This window comes from Homo sapiens, chromosome 5, assembly GCF_000001405.40.
Source record: "Homo sapiens chromosome 5, GRCh38.p14 Primary Assembly".
Classification (NCBI taxonomy): Eukaryota; Metazoa; Chordata; class Mammalia; order Primates; family Hominidae; genus Homo; species Homo sapiens.
Genome location: NC_000005.10, coordinates 52,875,022 through 52,894,710, shown reverse-complemented (window position 1 = coordinate 52,894,710; position 19,689 = coordinate 52,875,022). Strand labels below are relative to the sequence as shown.

Here is a 19,689-nt window from a genome sequence, read left to right as displayed (position 1 = left end):
AGTGTGTCCTCACAAGGACAGGGTCAACTGGATTTGGATGTAGCCTAAGGGGAAAAGAATTCTCTGGTGGTTTCTCTCCCTAGTTGGAGAAAAGGCGCATGTTCCCTGAGACTAGAGATCATCAAAGAATGTGAAGAAAGAAGCTTTGCCAGTTTGCCTGGCATAACAATTCTGAAGACTTTTTTTTTTTGTTTTTTAGGAAAGATCGAGTTCCAAAGTAATTAGCTACTTGACATCCTCTACCTAAGGCAGAATAGGGAATGCCATAACTCGTTATCCTCAACAGCCAGTCACCATTGAAAACTCAAGGAAAAATCTGCAAAGAAGTAACATGATTTAGACAAATACAGTGAACCAATGTTTCATTGCCATGGATTTTAAGGCAAATTTCCATGAAGACCTTTAAAATGGGCAAGGAGCAAAATACAGAGAAAATAAGTGAACAAAGAAGTTATTGCATAAGAGCACTCTTGTAGTAGCTCAATATGAAATGAAGAAACAAACAAACAAAAAAAACCCAAACCAGAGGTAGTACCCTCATTTTCCAAATCTATGTAACAGAAAAGGAACAAAGCACATGGAAACATTTTTGTCCTGGCACATCTACATTGACCATTGTCTTCATCGGCTGTCCCATCAGCACTGCCCTACCATGCCCTTACAAAGAGAGTCTCTAGCAGACACAGTGTTGTGAGAAACAGCCATCTTAATGGCAGATTTATATAAAAGAGCATTGTTCCATGCTAGATATTGTACACAGTAAAAAAAAAAAAAAAGTATTACTGATGTATTAGGAATAAATACAAAAATCCCATTATACTGATTTTGAATTGCAGAGAGAACATGCAGCAATAAGATAAATAGACATACCTTCCAGGGCAAATATTCTTTCTCCCAGAGTTTTAACAATGGTGACTAGAGCCAATTCATCAGAGACATTGAAGAAATGCTTTTCAGTGGGTTCACTTGCAATTGATTTTATTTCCTCCACAAATTTTTCAGTGCTTAAATTTCCTCGGTTATAGCTGCCAAGAATCTAAGACACAACAGAAACAGCAAGAATATATTTTAAATTCTATGTGTTAAATAAAGGATCTCAAGCATTTTGTCAGTAAACAACAGTGTAGAGTACCTTAGCATAATGGAATTTTTATGTACTTTCATATTTATGGAAGAGTGATTTTCAAAATTTGTAGACTCCCTAATATTAACTGTTATATAAACACCACAATTGGTGTAGAAAAATATAAAGGGCAATTTTGTATGTCTGTGAAAATTTCTCCTCTTGTACTCTGTGTCCCTGTTACTAACAGCTGTATTTTTAAAATCTGACAGTTCAAAAGTAATGTTATATTCATAGTTTCTGAATGTCTTTGATATTATTCCAGCTAGTGATGTCATTATCTGCTGGCAAAGGCAATCAGCAAGTGAGTTGCCTGCTTTTGAATGAGCAATTCTTCCTGAAACTATTACCAAGGCACAGTCCAGCACATATATATTTTAAACACATACTGGACTAAGTGGTAATCTAAATTGGCAATCTGGAAAATAAACAATTGAGATATTCTTGTTTGAAACCAAATGCTGGAGACAGGGGCATTCTTTTTTATGAAGAGGAGAGAGAAGCAGGAGTTATATATGATTGTTAACTATAATTATTTAGATGTCCAAGCAGGTTTTCTCAAACATTTAGTTTTTTTTTAAGGTAAGGTTTATTGCAATAAATTATATACAGTAAAATTCACCCTGTTTAGATGTACAATTCTATGAGTGTGACAAACCAATATAGTTGTGTTACTGCCACATCAAGGTGTAGAATATTTACATCACCCCAAAAAGTTCCCTCCTGCCCCTATAGTCAATCCCTTCCTCCCCTCGTTCAACCCTGGCAACCACCGATAAATAATCTGTCCTTATAGCTTTGATTTTTCCAGAATGTCAGATTTAAGGAATCATATAGTATGTAGCCATTTGTGTCTGGCTTCTGTGACTTTGTACAATGCTTTTCAGAGTCATCCGTGTTGCTGCATGTAGCAGTAGTTGGGTCCTTTCTATTGCAGAGTAGCATTCCATTGTATGGATGCACCACAATTTACTTAATGAGAACATTTGAGTTGTTTGCAGCTTCAACATATTATGAATAATGCTGCTGTAAATATTCACATGTAGGTCTCTGTAATAGACATATATTTTCTTTTCTCTTGAGTAAATAACTAGAAATGAAAGTGCTGGGTCATACAATAAGTGAATGATTAACTTTTTAAGAAACTGCCAAACTGCTTTCCACAGTAATCGTCCCATTTTGCCATTTTACTATTCCCATCAGAAATGTCTAAGAGATCCAGCTGCTTTGCATGCGTGTCAATACTTGTTATTGTCAGTTTTTTTTGTTCACTTGTTAGTTTTAGCAATTGTGTTAGCGTATAGTGGTGTCTTATTTAATTTGCATTTCTCTAATGACTAATGATGTTGAGACTCTTTCATACAATTATTTGCTATAGTATTTCTTCCTCGGTGTAGTTAGTGTCTGTTCAAATCTTTTTCCCATTAAAAGAAAACGAGATGTTTATTTTCCCTTAAATGTGTTGTAAGAGTTCTGTATATAGTCTGGATGCAAGTCCTTTATGTGTTTTGCAGATGTTTTCTTCCCGTCTGTAGATTGTCTTTTCATATTCTCAACAGTGTCATCTGAAGAGTAGAAGTTTTACATTTTGATGAAGTCCAACTAATTAGCTTTGTTGAGGTTTGTACTTTTTCTGCCTAAAAAAATTAGTTTTTAATGTAAAAATTTTTTATGTTAAAACTGTTTTTAATATAAAAATGTTCAAGATAATGAAAACATTTTTAAAACAATATGTAAAATTTAACATGCAAAAAAATTTAAAAATCCCCAATATGTAGATATGACCTAATTCTATTTTTTAAATCACATAAGTACATGGGCATAAAAAATGTGAAAAAATGTGTATCATAATATATTATTTTGTATTTCTGTATATTAGGACACTAGGTGTTTCCTTATATTTGCTTCAATATTTTTTTTAAAACTTTATAATAAAAAATCACTTCTGTAATAAATAAAAAAATTAGTTTTTACCATAGTTGCAAGTGTTACCTGAAGATTATCACTTTGGTTTTTTTTTTTTTTTTTTTTTAGTGTTCATGATACATTTATAACAATAACTCAAACTGGACACAAGCAAAATGTCTATAAACAGTAGAGTACAAATTGTGGTCTATAAAATAGATAACAATAACAAAAAATGAATCCCCAGTACACAAAATATCACAAGCAATAATTATGTTGAGTGAAAAGCTAAACACACAGTACATACTATACAGTTTTATTTATTTGAAATTCAAGAATTGGCAATCTAAGTGAGCTATGGTGGTATGTCACATCAGTGGTTACTACAGGAGGTGTGTATTTAAAATGAAAAAAAAAAAAGAAAAAAAAAACATTGCTGGGTATATATCCCAAAGAAAGGAAATAGTATATTGAAGAAATATCTGCACTCCCCTGTTTATTGCAGCACTGTTTACAATAGACAAGATATAGAATTAACCTTAAGTATGGATCAATGGATGAATGGATTTAAAAAAACATGGTATATCTTCACAACAGAATATTATTTATCCATTAAAAAGAACAAAACTTTGTCATTTCCAGCAACATGGATGGAACTGAAGAACATTATATTAAATGAAATAAGCCAAGCACTGAAGGACAAATATCACTACGTTCTCACTCAAATGTGTGAGCTGAAAATGTGGATCTCATAGACATACTGAATAGAATGGTGGTTATCAAAGGCTGGAAAGAGTAGTGGGGAAGAGCAGGGATGAAGAGGGGTTAGTTAATGGATTTAAAACTATAATTAGATGGAAGGAATAAGAGCTAGTGTTCAGTAGCACTATAGGACAACTACAGTAAACATATTGTATATTTCAAAATAGCTACAGGAGAAGATTTGGAATATTCCCAACACAAAGAAATGATAAGTGTCTGAGGTGATGGATATTCCAATTGCCCAGATTTGATCATTAGCCACTGTATGCCTGTATCAAAATATCACATGTACCAGGTAAATATGTACAGCTATCGTGTATCCATAAAAATTAAAGATACATTTTAAAAAAGAAAGCACAGGAAACTTTCTGGGAGTGATGAAATTGCTCTATATCTTGATTAAGTCTTATGTGGGTGCACGTAATTGTCAAAACTCACCAAATTGTTCACTTCGTGCACACTTTTCACACTGAAACCTTGCATTTCACTGTATTGTAAATATCACTTCAATTTTTAAAAACAGAATGAACTATACAGATATGCAACATTATGGATGAATCTTAATATAGTATTAAGTTTTAAAAGTTCCAAAATATTATATACAGCATTACACTCTTTTTAAAATGTTAAAAACAATGAAATATTCTTAAAATTTATTTTTTTGGATATGTATGGGTGCCTAAATATTATTTTGAAAAGTAGAGCCAGGGTTGAGGAATGTAGAAAGTGGACTGATGGTTACCCAGGTGGAGGAAGGCAGGTGGTAAATGTGCTCAGATGTAGTTACCAAAAAAGAGAGCTAGCTCTCAATTTGGGTGGTAGGTCCATGGATGCTTATAATATTATTAAAATAAATACACAGATATAGTTCTAAACAGAGAAACAAATAAAGTTTGTTTCAACAAATGATTACAATTTGGCCTGAACGAAGCAAGGATCGGATTAATTCAAGGCTATGCTCCTGGAATCCAAAAAATAAAGGAAAGACACTGAGCCCTTTGCTATTGCTTGATTTTTTTTTTTAAGAATATCCAAATCCTCTAAGAAGAAGGAGAGTCTTGGCCTCCAGTGACCATGAAGGTACAGGAATTTTTTGGCTTCACATTTCTTTTTCCAATAATAGCCTTGTCTGGCATCATTAAAAACGAAGAGCTCCATGGTGCTGCCTTCAAAGTCCTGTTACAAAACAGACCTCAAGCACCCTTCCGACCATGGTTCTGCACTGTGGCCTGGGAGGATAGTGGGCACAAGGGCAATGGGCTTGAGGGCTGCCCCCACCCCTTTCCTCCAGGTCTGAGGCTCCCCCTACCCATCTGAGTAGCTCACCCCCACTGCACATCTACATGTAGTTTTTTAAAGTTAGATTTAGAATGGTAGATTAAAAAACTGATAGTTTGATTAAGAAGGATACAGATTTTTCACTTATAGAAAGTTAGAAAAGAACTAAAATTACTGTTTAAAGTGCTGCTGTTTATAATCTACGAAAGACTTGTTTATTTGTATCATTAAATGCATAGTGGGCTGGGCACGGTGGCTCACGCCTGTAATCCCAGCACTTTGGGAGGTCAAGGCAGGTGGATCCCCTGAGGTCAGTAGTTCAAGACCGGCCCGACCAACATGGTGAAACCCCATCTCTACTAAAAATAAAAAAATTAGCCAAGTGTGGTGGTGTGCGCCTGTGGTCCCAGCTACTTGGGAGGCTGAGGCAGGAGAATTGCTTGATCCTGGGAGGTTGGAGGTTGCAGTGAGCCGAGATCGTGCCACTTCACTCCAGCCTGGGTGACAGAGCGAGACTCCATTTAAAAAAAAAAATGGATAGTAGTTTAGAGCAGCAACTGAAATACTATAATGTACACTCAATGTTAATGTGAGAAAGTGAGTCTTGAAGGCAGTGCAGTGGCTTTTGAATGTTCCTTACTAGAGAGAAGGCAGTGGCAGATTTATTCTCAATTCTTTTCTTTTGCTTCAGTAAAGCCCTCATCCTTTTCCCTGGGGAGTATCAGTGACCATCCCAGAGGAAATACCACACGTCTCATCAGAGGACTTTAAGCCACTTTGCCCCTGTCCTCTGGGACCACCCAAGTCACTGGGTGCCCTTGCCTCTTTCTCAGCTCCCTCACCTGCTGTTCCATGAAGCTATAGGAATAATGAGGTTACAGGAGTAATGCACTAATGTCTGAGAAGAACTGCAAGCTGTTTTGAAGAAGCACACTGTTAAAACTAGAGCTAGCTCTGAAGTAATTGGCATACCATTTGGGTAACTTTTTATTTCAGAACTTGTTCCCCACTAGAATGTCTACATTTTAGGTCGAAAGGTCTATACCAGGAGCTTATAAATTGCATCAGAAAACAAAAATTCAATTCCTGTCTACTTCGCTGAAAAGCAAGTGTCAAACGTCAGAAGTTGTTAATATTTAAACAGAGACAACTGGCACTTTCCCCCACTTTAGCTAAGTGATGGGGGAAGATAATTAATGAAAAAGAGAGTCGAAAATTGCTCAGACGGGGAAGGGAAGCCCAATGGCCACTGCTCTTGTTATACTGAACAAATCCTCTCTCTTATTTAAAGGCAAAGGCATTTTTCCCGCCTTCCCACCCTCTTCCCTTCCTTTCCTCCTCTTCTTTTCCTCTTCTTTTTTTCAGTCCTCTTTTTCTCACCCTTCCTTCCTTCTTATGTTTTTGCTTCCTTCTTCCTCTTTTCATGTTTCCTTATTTTCTTCCTTCCTTCCTTCCTTTCAATGATTGTTTGTTGAGTGTCTGTTTGGCCTGGCATTGTGCTGGGTACTAAGGACCCAGAGGGAGCAAGATCCAAGTCTGTCCTCCCAGGGCTTACCTTCAAATGGAGACCTTTCTCTTTTCCAACCTGGTTTGTGTGACTTTCATAAAATTACCCAATATGCACACAGCTCTTCTCTACACCTAAGAGTTTGAAAATATCTCCGGCAACACACTTACAGCTATGGAAAACCGTTGAATGTTTTCATCTTCACAGTCTTGGATGACCTTCTTCAGTCGATGATTGTCATGAGACTCTCCATCTGTCACAATAACCATGACTTTTTTAACTCCTCTTCGGGCACCCCGGGCTTCCGTGAATGCCTCCTTTCTAAAGTAATCACAAACAAAAGAGAGGTTGATAAGACACCACTTTACAATAGACAAAGTAAAAAACTAAACAAAAACACTGACTACTCTAGGTAGCCTGGTGCTTCCCTCCAAAATTAGCATCAATGCCCATCATTCAAGTTGGGAGGCATAATGAGCCTTGTTTGTAATAGTTTTAGATTTATTTCAGATGATGGAGAGGTCTCCGTTTTGCTAATCACCACACATCCTATATATAAAAAGGCAGCAGTATTTCATTCTTTGGAAATTTCAAAGGGAGGGTGTGACTGAGGCATACATCATGGTCAGAGAAGGCCAGATCTGTAAACACTCCCCCAGGTGCTCCTTTCTCTGTAAACACCCCTTCTCTCATTTAACAGGCCTCTTTTCTTCTGCGTCTAGCAGAAACTTTTGCTTGAGATTTTGCTTCCCCCACAGCTACTCTGACATTTGTAGAATGGCTCGAAAATCCTCTAATCTGGGGAGGAGAGATGAGAGAGAACAGAGTATTAGTGGGGCTGTGAGTGCTTGAGAGTGTCCTGGGGATAGGGACATCTGCAGTCTTTCACATGGGAGTAATAGACTGCAGATGGTGATGCTCTGAGTCCATGGAGTAGTCAGTTGGGTTTTAGGGAGCAAAAAGTGGTTGAAGGAGTTACAAAACATTTGGCCTGAACTATGTGTTAGCACACAGGCTGCTGAGAGCAGGATGGGAGAAGATGGCAATGGAGAGGAGGGGAAAATGCTATAACCTAACTGCAAAAAAACCCTGAATTTCAGGGAGGCCGAGGCGGGCAGATCACGAGGTCAAGAGATCGAGACTATCCTGGCTAAGAAGGTGAAACCCCGTCTCTACTAAAATACAAAAAATTAGCCGGGTGCGGTGGCGGGCGCCTGTAGTCCCAGCTACTCTGGAGGCTGAGGCAGGAGAATGGCGTGAACCCGGGAGGCGGAGCTTGCAGTGAGCCAAGATCGCGCCACTGCATTCCAGCCTGGGCGACAGAGCGAGACACCTTCCCGTCTCAAAAACAAAACAAAACAAAAAACCGAATTTGAATTTAATTGAACAGCACTTATGGAAAGAAACAGAAGACAGGGAAATGGAAAATTTTTGTTTTGTATGTATTCTATATAAATATATACACACACTTCTCCCCTCCCCCTTTATTTCCTTTTACTCAAACCTTTTCGCTCTGGAGTCTTGGAAGAGATGAGTATATTTTATTTAGGACTAAAGTAATGAAAAGACTTCATATATTTCTAGGATTTTGGTACAAAGTACAGCAATCATTGTACTGAATGGTCCATTTAGATATTTGGTTGTACAGACAAACAGCTGCCATTTGGGATAGATTTGCCAAGGAAACGCCTGTCTTAAGCTAACATTCCAAAGAGTTTGCACAACAGATACACACTAAATATACCATAACTGATATCTTTAAGCAGGAAGAGAGGATTCTGGTGAAATGGGGAAAAGGATTCTATGTGATGACTTTTCCTTTCGAAGGACTTAAAGCAAATATGACAAGATGTTGACAACTGTCAGTTCTGAGTGGTGGATATACAGGATATAGTTGTACTAATTTTTTACTTTCTTTGAGTCTCTCTGCCCTCTATACTTGACAAAGACCCTCTCCTTGACCAAAACCGAGTCAGGCTCCTTTACATCTTCTTCTAGACTGGGCTCTGACCCTGGGCTGTGTTCTTTACCCACTTAGTCCAGTTTAAGCAAGAATCTGGCTTAATCAATTTAGTGGAAATCCCTCATCCTTGGTATCTGATCACATTCCTCATTCCCCACCCTCTAAATCTTATTACGCTGTTCCATGATATTATCTTTTAAAAGAATTGAATTTATAGGCAATTAGGCTGAGACAGCTCCAGTGCCGTATGTTCCTATATAATCAAACCAAAGTCCAATTCAATGTAAACAGTAAAACAAAACTTAAACATTACCAATTAGAAACTGCAACTAACTTCTAACTAGAGACTTTACCAATCAGAACCTGGCAAGTAACCTCTAACTTTCCACCAGATCATACCCAAATAAGGTAAATGCCTAGCTATAGCCAATCAAGTCATTTCTTTAATTTGATTTTGCATTCAGCTCGTAAAAGCCCATTGCTCACACTGCTAAAATGGATCTTTCCGAACTTCTTATGGTTCTGACTGCTGCCTGATTCATGAATCATTCTTTGCTCAAATAAACTCTGTCAAATTTAATTTGTCTAAAATTTTCCTTTAACAAATAATAAATATATATTTGGTCTCTGCCTCTGGTTTCTGGTGCAGAACTCCTAAAACTCTCATAACTTCCTGAGCAATACTGGTGAGAGGTGTATCTTTTGTTCTAATATATGGTCTTTAACCTGGGTTTCTGACATAGATATTCTAATCTGTTGAATTTCCTAGGTGATAGGAGTATCTTTTGTTCTAATGAAGTAACTCTTGGTGGGCTCCTAAATGGGAGCTGATCACTAGAAGGACCAGGCCATGATCAGAAGCTTGAAACGTTCAGCCCCAGCTCTCATTCTCCAGGAAAGATTGAGGGGCTAGAGAATCAGTTAATAATCAATCATGCCTGTGATCAAGCCTCTGTAAAACTTTCTGAACTACGGGGTTCAGAAAGTTTCCAGGTTGCTGAACAGGTGGAAGGAGGTACACCATGAGAGGGAATGGCAGCTCTGACACCTTTCCCTCATAGCTTGCACTACATATCTCTTGCTGTTCCTGAGTTGTATCCTTTTATAATAAACTAATAATAGTAAGTAAGATACTTTACTGAGTTCTGTGATCCACTCTAGCATATAATCAAACCCAAGTAAGGGGTCTAATTTGTAGCCACGTTGGACAAATCGTGGGTACCTGGAAACCTACTGGCTCTAAATTGGAATGAATTCTTGAAGGACTGAGCCGTTAATCTGTGGGAGGTTTGCATAAACTCTAGTTGGTGTCAGAACTGAATTGAATTCTAGAACATGCAGCTGATGTCAGATAACTGGTCGATGTGGGAAAAATCCCACACATCTGGCATCAGAAGTGACATGTCAAGTGTTTAGAATATAGAAAGAGAAAAACAGTTTATTTTTCCTACTATTTATCTGCCTTCAGCAAGAATCCTGTTGAGCCAGTCTAGCAAGAATCCCCCTAGCCTTGATGTTACTGCCAATCCCTGCCCTGTTCCTTGACTATAAATGCCCACTTGTCCTCACTGTAGTCAAAGCTGAGCCCTATCTCTCTTCCTTACTGCAATACCTTCATCATAAAGGTTCCTCTTGAGTGATGTCTTCCTTACAATCTTTAACAAATATCATGAATAATTTTTAACATACTATACAAGTAGATTTTCTGGCTTTTTTTTTTTTTTTAAGGCAGAGTTTTGCTCTTGTTGCCCAGGCTGAAGTGCAGTGGCACGATCTTGGCTCACTGCAACCTCCGCCTCCTGGGTTCAGGCGCTTCTCCTGCCTCAGCCTCCTGAGTAGCTGGGATTACAGGCGCCCACCACCACGCCCGGCTAATTTTTTTTGTATTTTTAGTAGAGATGGGGTTTCACCATGTTGGCCAGGCTGCTCTCGAACTCCTGACCTCAGGTGATCCAGCCGCCTCAGACTCCCAAAGTGCTGGGATTACAGGCACGAGCCACTGCACCCAGCCGATTTTCTGACTTTTTAAAGTATACAAACAAAGGTGAAAACAGACGTTACATGTTAGTCTTTAACAGATCTTTGTATGCGAATATCATATGAGATTCAATCACTTTTGAAATTCAAATTCCTTAGGTCACTAAAACTTCCTAATTCTCTTAAATATCAGGGTTACAAAAGAATTGAATGAACATCAGCTGAAGGAGATGATTAAAAGGCCTTTCATAAATAAAATGTGACTGTTCTAAACTCAGGGCTGGCTTTATGTAATATTGGAAGATTAGACATTGACAGAACTCCTGAGTACACCTTTCCTGTTTCAACTACATTCCTTAAAAAATTGTCATTGTCCTCAAAGTACCAGTATCCAGTGTCCTTTCTTGGCACTAAGCATTGACTTTCCTGCATGCTTTAAAAAATTAAAATATATCAAGAGTGTCCCTTTCTTCAAGACAGGAGAATCCAGGCCTCATGATTAAATACTGTAAGTTTATTGACAAAAGTAAAAATTTGGGATAGGAAGAAGGGAACACACACACACAAAACTTTGAACTGGGATTTACTGAAAATGAAGGTAAAGAATTCTAAAAATATTAAAAATATTGTTTGCAACTTCTGCCTGAAAGGAATAAAAAACAATTAAAATGTGCTTAAACATGAAAAGGTAATTAATGTAGGAGAAAAATACTTGGTACTATCACTACAGAATTTTAATGTATAATCAAAATTCAATAAACTCTGTGTCCCACAGCTATACCCTTTGTGAAACACAGAGGCAAAAAACACATAGGGACATGGTATTTAGAGCCGTATTTATGCAGAAGCAAAAGCAGCCAGAATATTTCTTCAGTTAGTTTTCAGAGATGAATATTCATTCTTAAATGGTTGCCTTTGGAAAACGTACAGCTCCCTACAGGCTCAGAGGTTTCAAAGAACACTTTGACTTACTTCGAATGTGCAGTCACATTTAATTGATTATTGAATGGGGGTGCATTCGGTACACCTAAACATGTGCACTCTTTGTGTATACAAATTGGTGATCCAATAGGTGATCCAATAGGTAGGTAAATGTCCAATTACCTCCATCTGTTTGTGGTTATTTTCTCTTGGGCCCCATATAACTAGAGCCAGATGATTTTCTAATATTCATGAGGCAAAAGCTGTACATGAAATTATAAAATTTTGAATATCCAATCCATTCTTTGCAGGATCATTATTAACTTTTTTAACCTTCTTAAAACAGTCATCTTAGCAGGCAGATGAAGTGAGAGCATGGGTAATTAGCTTTCCACCTAAGGCAAGAGTTCAGAAGTTGAAGACATTTAACAGAAGGATTCTTAACATTAATCAAACTACTTATTACATTTCCTGTGATTTTTGTATTGTTTTGAATTTGTTCAGAAGTTTGCTAGTTTAATGAATGAGATAAGAGAACACACAGGAAATAAAGTGTTCTACATTTGTAAGAGAGGACAATTCTGTTCGTTCTTATAAAATGAAATTCAACCACAGACTGAGTTATGTGTTCACCATAAGGAAAACTGCAGATGGAAGAAAGGAAGGGTTGTAAATTGGAGGGAATCTAAAGAAAGTAAAAAAGGAGAGAGGATTACAAATGATAATATCCTTTCCATTTCTTTCAAACTTTGCACTAAAAATGATTTTAAATAGACAATATTTAATTTGGCGCCTTAACACCTCTTATCTAGTAGCTTCGATAACGGTAAATCAAGTACTGAAAATACATGGACATTCTAGAATATAAATATATATTGAGTAGAGGTAGACCTATTTTTAATCCGTTCTTTTAGATTGAGACTCTTAGAAGTTGAAAACAAAAAATAAATGAAACAAATATTAACTAATATTGTCTTAGTACCCAAGAACATGAAAATATAGATGCAGTGATATTTTAAAATGGATTCTCTATCAATTAAACCCTTGTAACAAGAGAAGGATAAGAAGGATGGTGAGATTGTGTCATACAAACATCTGATCTTGTAACCATTATTTAATCTTCTGAATCTCATTTTAAACAAAATGGCTTTAAATATTGTCATATTAAACTTTCAATTGATATGCCAAAAGGCTAAATCATGAGCAGTTATTTTTGCAGTCTTTTACTTTAGTTTATTTTTTTATCCATATACCTTGCTGTGTCTATTCCAAGAGCTGTCATAGTCTGGCGGCCACCTCTCTGGACTATTTTCTTTGCTGCAACAAGTACCTCTTCGGTGGAAGAATACTTATTGAGGTTGAACTCATGGGTCACGTTTTCTCCATACTGTACAATTCCAACCTGAAATACCAAGCCACTGTGAGTTATACGTCAATCCAAATTTCCTGTTCAGATTTCTTCAGGTTAACCATGTGAATCAGATATAATACATTTCAGATGAGTTTGCAAACCTATCAGTACACAAATGCTTCTATTTTGACAGTAATAAGCATAGCCATTCTGTGACTGTTCGTAGTCCAAAGAACAAAAGCAAACATGCTGTTACTAAACTTCTCAAACGATTGGTTTATCTAATTCAACAGATTTTACAGAGTAACTCTGGTAGGCCTTGGTGGGTAGAATATGAAACACACTGATATGGTCTCTGCCTTCATGGAGCTTCTCTAAAGCTAGAAGGAGAGAGAGATTAAACACGTGATCATTCAAATACATGAACAATTGCAAACTGTGGAAAGGACTGTATGGGAAAATCCCTAATCAGCCAATATAATCTAGAGGCCAGACTGAAAATGGGGGTCCAGGGAAGGCTTCTCAGAAGCTGAGACTTCAAGAGTGAGTGCTAGAAGGGCAGAGCGTCCATACAGGGGAAACTGTGTATGTGAAGAAGACCAGGATGGGAAAGAGATAGATCTACCCTAAGAATGGAAAGAAAGGCAGTGAGCCATGGCCAGGGCTGTGAGGAAAGAAGAGGGCACCATGAAGCTGGAGGAATAATCAGGTTATGTAGCCTGCAGGGTTACACACTTGAGCAGTGAGCTTTGTCTAACCTTGCTGCAGCCTCATTTCTCCCAAATCAGCCCTTCCCAACTCCACCTTCTTTCCTTGTTTTGTCTTCCTTTCCTACTGCCTTCCTCCTTTCATTCCCTTTAGTCCACAGATTGGATAACGCAGGCAGCTAACTGCAGAGCCTTCATGCAGTGAAATACAGGAGGGAAAGTGCCCCCAGATTTGATTTCCCTTGCTCCATATTCTTCCTCTTCCCACCTGCCTCCTGGCCCCAGTAATGGCTATCTCTCCTACACTTTTTCCACATCTCCCTTTAAAGGTTGATGTGAACCAATAAACTAATCTGCATTAAAAATTGTGACTGAAGATGACTTTTTGTTTAACCATCCTATCTCAAAATCCAGACTCAGAAAATTATTTGCCCAAAGGAATGTCTCTTTAATTCAGGAATTCCAGGTGATTCATTACTTGGGTAAGGGAGGTAATTTGCAACAAGCCTGCCTTCTTTCCAAGGCAATTGCCTACTTTGCCTGTTGGTGAAGTTGCCTCTGTTACTTGCTTTAGAGCAAATCCTATTTCTTAGTCTAACCTTATTCTTAAGTAGCATGAAGGCTCAGTAACTGGTTTCCAGGCTCCTCTGCTGAAATCACTGATGTCAGAAAGCTTTAGTCTTAATTTCATGTCTGTTTATATGTACATTTTCACACTAAGTCTTTTTGGAAACTAAAAGCATATTCTGGTGTGTTTTTAGAAACAAATAAGAGAAGCCCAAATTTAAAGCAATTTTTATCATCTTTGAGTTACCCTCTAGAGTACACTGGTTATGTTGGAGCAATTATGTCCTTATGCTTAAATAAGAATACTATGATATATATTTAATGGTCTTTTTAAAACTTTCTTCTCTAATTATTTAAATTATAATAACAGAAACATGATAATGTTTCATAAGTGAGGAAACTGAGTTGAAAACACCCAATCCCTATAGTGAAGTGGTGGAAGGGGGGTCTAGTCTAAGATGTGTATCCCTTATCCAAGGGCTCTTTCAATCACCCTATTTCCTCTCAGTAAAAAGGCATCTATCTAAAATCCTCCATTCTTTAGTCACCTCAACCTGCTAGCTTCTGCTGAGTGCCACTGCCACTTCATGGCTACTCAATGAATTTGCTTAACTAGCTAGTTAACTGAGATATGTTAGAGTATATGATGAAACAAACACATAAATACATATATCATATTTTGTAAAAAATAATAGAACATATGAATTCTCTCCTAAAGTTGCTTAGTTAGGTATAAGATAAATAAGAAATAACTAGAGAATATATGTAATTGTAAGATGAGGTTACATCATCAGCTGAATGAACATGCACTCTGCTCAATTCATGTCCAGGTTAGCCTTGTTCTGTGAGTTTATCTTTCACCCAATATCCTTTACCACCTATTCTGAGAGAGCTACTATATTTGGAATAAAGGTGACCAAAAGACCCTTTGGGAACAAGATAGGATACAGCCAACTAATTACACAAAAATAATAAAGTGGATAAAGACACATCTATGACTGCAATTCAGGATATTTTCTTTATTTATAATAAAATGTGAGGAACATTTTTATTACCCTCTGCATAAATTTAAAATTCTTTTCTTCAATGACCCTAAAGTTTTTGATTAGTAATCCTTGGAAACACTGAATAATTATTAAGGGACATATCCATGGATACACATGTCTTTGGGTATATAAATGTTCAGTGTAAATAAAAGCAAAATGGTTTTGTTACTTGGATAATCATTATGGCTAATTCTAGGTATCAAAGTGAACAAACACTGTTGTGGAAGTTAATTGCTCATCAATTAAGGACATCTTACAGTTTGCTTTGTTTTTCTTCCCCTTTGTTTTTATTTGATTAAGAGGCTAAAGAACTTTGAAAATTTTCCCTCCTACTCCTGTTGTTTTTCTTGAAAATTTTGGCATCTACTTAATAATCTATTAATCTAGTATCCACTGATAATCTGTGGAATACCCTAGTCTCTCATTTCTTTGACCTCCCCAGCATCAGTAATCTTTCCTCTAGCCATCTTCTCCCAAGGTCTTATCCTTGACCTTGTCATTTGGAAGACCTTGTCAGCAGGTCAATCCCAATTTCAAATGTCCTTCTTTTTGAACATTAACTTTGGCTCATTTCACTAATTCCCTGACCATATCAAGACCTCCAACTAATTCATTAATACTGCCATTTTTTTTTTTTTTTTTGGTACTTAGACTAGATTCCATGGTCCAATGACTATAATCATTTATTTGCAAACATTTAACTCATTTAACCTTTTTTTCCCTCCAATGACTCACTTGGCTAACTTCCAACTCGGGTTAAATCCAATTATCTCCTCCTCTCTATATGCTTCTGTGGCTTTGAATGCTGCTAGACACAAGTCACACAAATTGTAACCTGGTCTCCTTTTAAAGGAATGACCATGAATCTCAAAGGAGGTTGCATATTTGAGCGCTGTCAAACACTACAACTATTTTTTACTAATGAGTCCACGTTGTTCTCATTTATTGGTTTTAATCTAATTGTCGTAAACTGCCAACTCCTTGGGAAAAAGGGTTATCTCACTTACATGTGGGGATGAGCTCACATGAGAGGAGCTGAAGAGATGCCAACTTAACAAGACTGCTTTTTGCCACATGTGTGTTAATACTTTACATTTACAACACACTTTACATATCTTAAAGAACCTACTATGAACCATTGGATTGTCCGGAAAAATTATCTTCACACTAGGAATAGTAAAAAACTCAAAATGTTGGTAAGTCAGAAATCAGTGCTTTAAATTTTACATCTCTATCATCCATCTATCCACCTCCAATATGTGCCTGGCTTCTAAAAGCTTATTCTTTGTAAATCTTAAAATATAAGATGAGTTATAACTGCCTATTCCCTTATCTGCTCTGGATACTTTGCTTCTAACAACTCTACCTGAGACTCTCTTCAGATGACTGCACTTGAGCTACTAGACTGCTTTACCCCAAAGACTGAAAAAACCAGGAGTGTCTGGGAGTCCCCCGTCCTCCTCAGCTCCCCATCACCCTGATCCACAGGCAATGGTGAGTGCAGGGAATGAGAAATCAGCCCCTTGACTCAAGTAGAAACTCCCCTTCCATATCAAGCTGAGGCCTGGATTCCACTTGAAATTACACTTTCCTTTGTCCTCTGTTGATACCTTGTTTTGCTTCCCCAATTCATCTGCTTTCTGTTGGAAATGCTTCCTCACAAATATATCACTATCATGTGAATCGTCCTCTCAGGGTTTGCTTCTGGGAGCTGGATCTAAGGCAGCTGTCAACTGTGTCCCTGCATTCCTACTCATGCAGGACAGGTGAGCCCCAAAATGGGTCTCAGCCCACAAGGGTTCTTGGCTTTGCTCAGGAAAGAATTCAAGGGCAAGCCAGAGGTGGAAGAAAACAGCTTTATTTTGAAGCTGCAGCGTTACAGCTCTGGTGGCCTTACGGCTCCGTGACTGCTCCTGCCAGGCAGGACTACCTCACAGGCAGAGAGGAGAAGCTCAGGGCAGTTTTGCAGTTATATTCATACTTAACTTTAATCACATGTACATTAAGAGGTGGTGTATGCAGAACTTTCTAGGGAAGGAGTAATAACTTTTGAGTCCTTGGGTCATTGCCATGGAATGGGACAGTAACTCCTGGTTGTTGCCATGTCAATGGTAAACTAACATGGCACCCTGGTGGGCGTGTTTATGGAAGGCATCTTCTGCCTCATCCCTGTTTTATCTAGTCCTCAATTTGATCTGGTGTTGGAGCCCGACTCCAGAGTCAAGTCTCGCCTCCTACCTCATTACCTTAGCTCAGGCCAGACATCATTGCTTTGAACTTGGACCATGGCAATGGTCAGTCTCTTTGCTGCTGATCTCCCTCTCTTCATTTCCACTCTCTTCACATCCTTCTACATATTCCTGGCAGACTAACTGTCCTGAAACTCTGCTTTCATCCTATAACATACTTGTTCAAAAACCTCCAATAACTCTCCATTGCCTGTATCAATGACTTCGAAATATACTTTAAAAGATAGATTTTTATTCTAATTTTTTAAAAATAGATAAAACTTCAAGCTACTCCTTGAAATACTAGGTCCATATGTTAAAATCCAGTTTTCTCCTCTTGACCTTCAGTCCCTTAATATTCCAATGCTAAATTCTCCATTCACCCCCATCTTCAGGACTCCCCAATATGAACTCCACTCCTACCAAATGCACTTCTTTGTCCCTCCTACTAAGCTAATCTTGTAAGATTTAATTCCAGTTCCACTCTCTCTGCAAAACTTTTCTTACCTTGTTGCCAGGATAGCCCATATTGAGCTTCCCCTTCTTGGAACTCTGAAACAAACTTGTCTGTGAGTATTGCATTCTTCTCAACTGTTTGAGTGCACACTATATCTTCCCAAGTACATCCTAACTTTAGAGGGACAGGCAGGGGTAAAGAGTATGGACTATGTCATGGCTTTTGATATTCTCTTATCCTTCACTGCTGTTTTGCTTTGCTCACAGCTGACCCTAAGACATTCTTACTAGATGACTGTAACATTTCGCATAAGCAAATGGAAAACCGAGATAGCAGGGAAATAATGATAAGCAGAAAAAGAGAGATACAACGAAGTCTGGGAAATGTGAAGAGGGAGCAGTGGAAAAACTCAAGTCTCAGGGAAATGACATTCAATGTAGTTCCCTGGCTGATACCGGGGTGCTTGTTTTCTTAGGAACCAGAAAGAGTAAGGTGTGCTGTGAGTCTTCCCCAGAAAAGGGTACCATTTATTAAAAATAATGGCAAAACCGCAATTACTTTGGCACTAACCTAGTGTTAATTTTCATTACAGACAAGGGTCAAATCACAAACAAACAAATGTAATGTTGTGCTGAATATTGGTGAGATTCAATTCAACAGAGATAGTTCCCATTTCACCTTAGCTTATAATTTAAGGCTAATAAAACAAGCATAATGTAAATGTATGTAGCAGAATCAAATAAAGTATGAGAATTAAATAGCAAGTTAAAAAGTGAGCCAAGTGATGAACATCGTGAGGAAGCAAGAGGAGAGAAAATCACAAGCATATTTATTCTCTCCCACGTGAAAATCCTCAAGGAGGAAGGAGGATTCAGCTTCCTGAATCTGAAAGCCAGCTCAAAAATAGCCAAGAGATTATGAAAGTACTATGGAAGGAAACAAAGTGGCCCTCAGCCTGGAAAATATGTCAAAGATGATAATTAAAGGAGTTTAAGTCATCCTAGAAATTGAGAGGAAAAAGGAAAAAAAAAACCAGTAATCCTAATATTTGACTTGAAGTAGCCAATTACGTTGGGATGATACAAAAGTCAGATGGTGGAAGTTGGATAGAGAGCTGATGACAACAAATCATGGAGGTGGAAATATCCTAGGCATTTTGATGAATAGAAATGGGTATGCAGGGATGACAGCTAAAAAGGTGCAACCGGGTTAAATGTGGACATTCTTTCCCAGAGATTGTAAAGAGCAGTTTGTGGTATCAGTAAAAGAGTAGATGAATATAGAAAGAACAGTTTCTTATAATATCACGGGGGATAAGGAGTCACATGCAGAAGGAAAATTCCTTTTCAGAGACAACTGGAAAGGATACATTTACCTCCTGGGGAGATGTGGTTTAAACCTCTTGATTAAGTAGAACAAAATAAATAGATGGGTAGATAATTACAATCCAAGGCCAAAGAGACCTAAAGGCTGATTCAGGCTATGGCATACATCAGGTACACAATTGGCTATGAATTTTGTTACATGAACAAGAGGTTTGTAACACTTATTAGAACATTCCACTTAAATATGAGATTTACAATCATATTTTCTGGTAAGCCCCCACACAAATATCCACTCACTTTTTTTTTTTTGGGAATACTAGCATCCCTTTGTATGTTACTAAGTTTGATTTAAAAAAGAATTCTATGGTCAAATAATCTTGGAAAACAATGAGTAAAATAAAGTTAAATATATATCTTTACGGCAGACTCCTCCCCATCTCTACCTTTCTCCTATCACTATGAAAACTGTCACAAATTGCAAATGGTGCAAAAGAGTAAGGTTTTCTCTTACTCCTATCCCTACTTGTTCTATTTAGACTTATAAGCAAATTCTTTTGAAAGTTTTCTCAGAG

General features: G+C 37.7%; 1 protein-coding gene and 1 pseudogene across 1 annotated transcript in view; both read right to left on the bottom strand.

Moving 5' to 3' along the window:
• Window positions 1-19,689, bottom strand: part of ITGA1 (integrin subunit alpha 1) — a 171,294-nt gene that overhangs the window by 64,499 nt on the left and 87,106 nt on the right. The window contains exons 7-9 of the mRNA NM_181501.2: window positions 12,690-12,838; window positions 6,746-6,896; window positions 871-1,036 (exon numbers count right to left, since the gene is read on the bottom strand). Coding sequence (NP_852478.1) covers window positions 871-1,036; window positions 6,746-6,896; window positions 12,690-12,838 — 466 coding nt within the window. The remainder of the gene's footprint in view (window positions 1-870; window positions 1,037-6,745; window positions 6,897-12,689; window positions 12,839-19,689) is intronic.
• Window positions 4,757-5,045, bottom strand: B3GNTL1P1 (B3GNTL1 pseudogene 1; annotated as a pseudogene).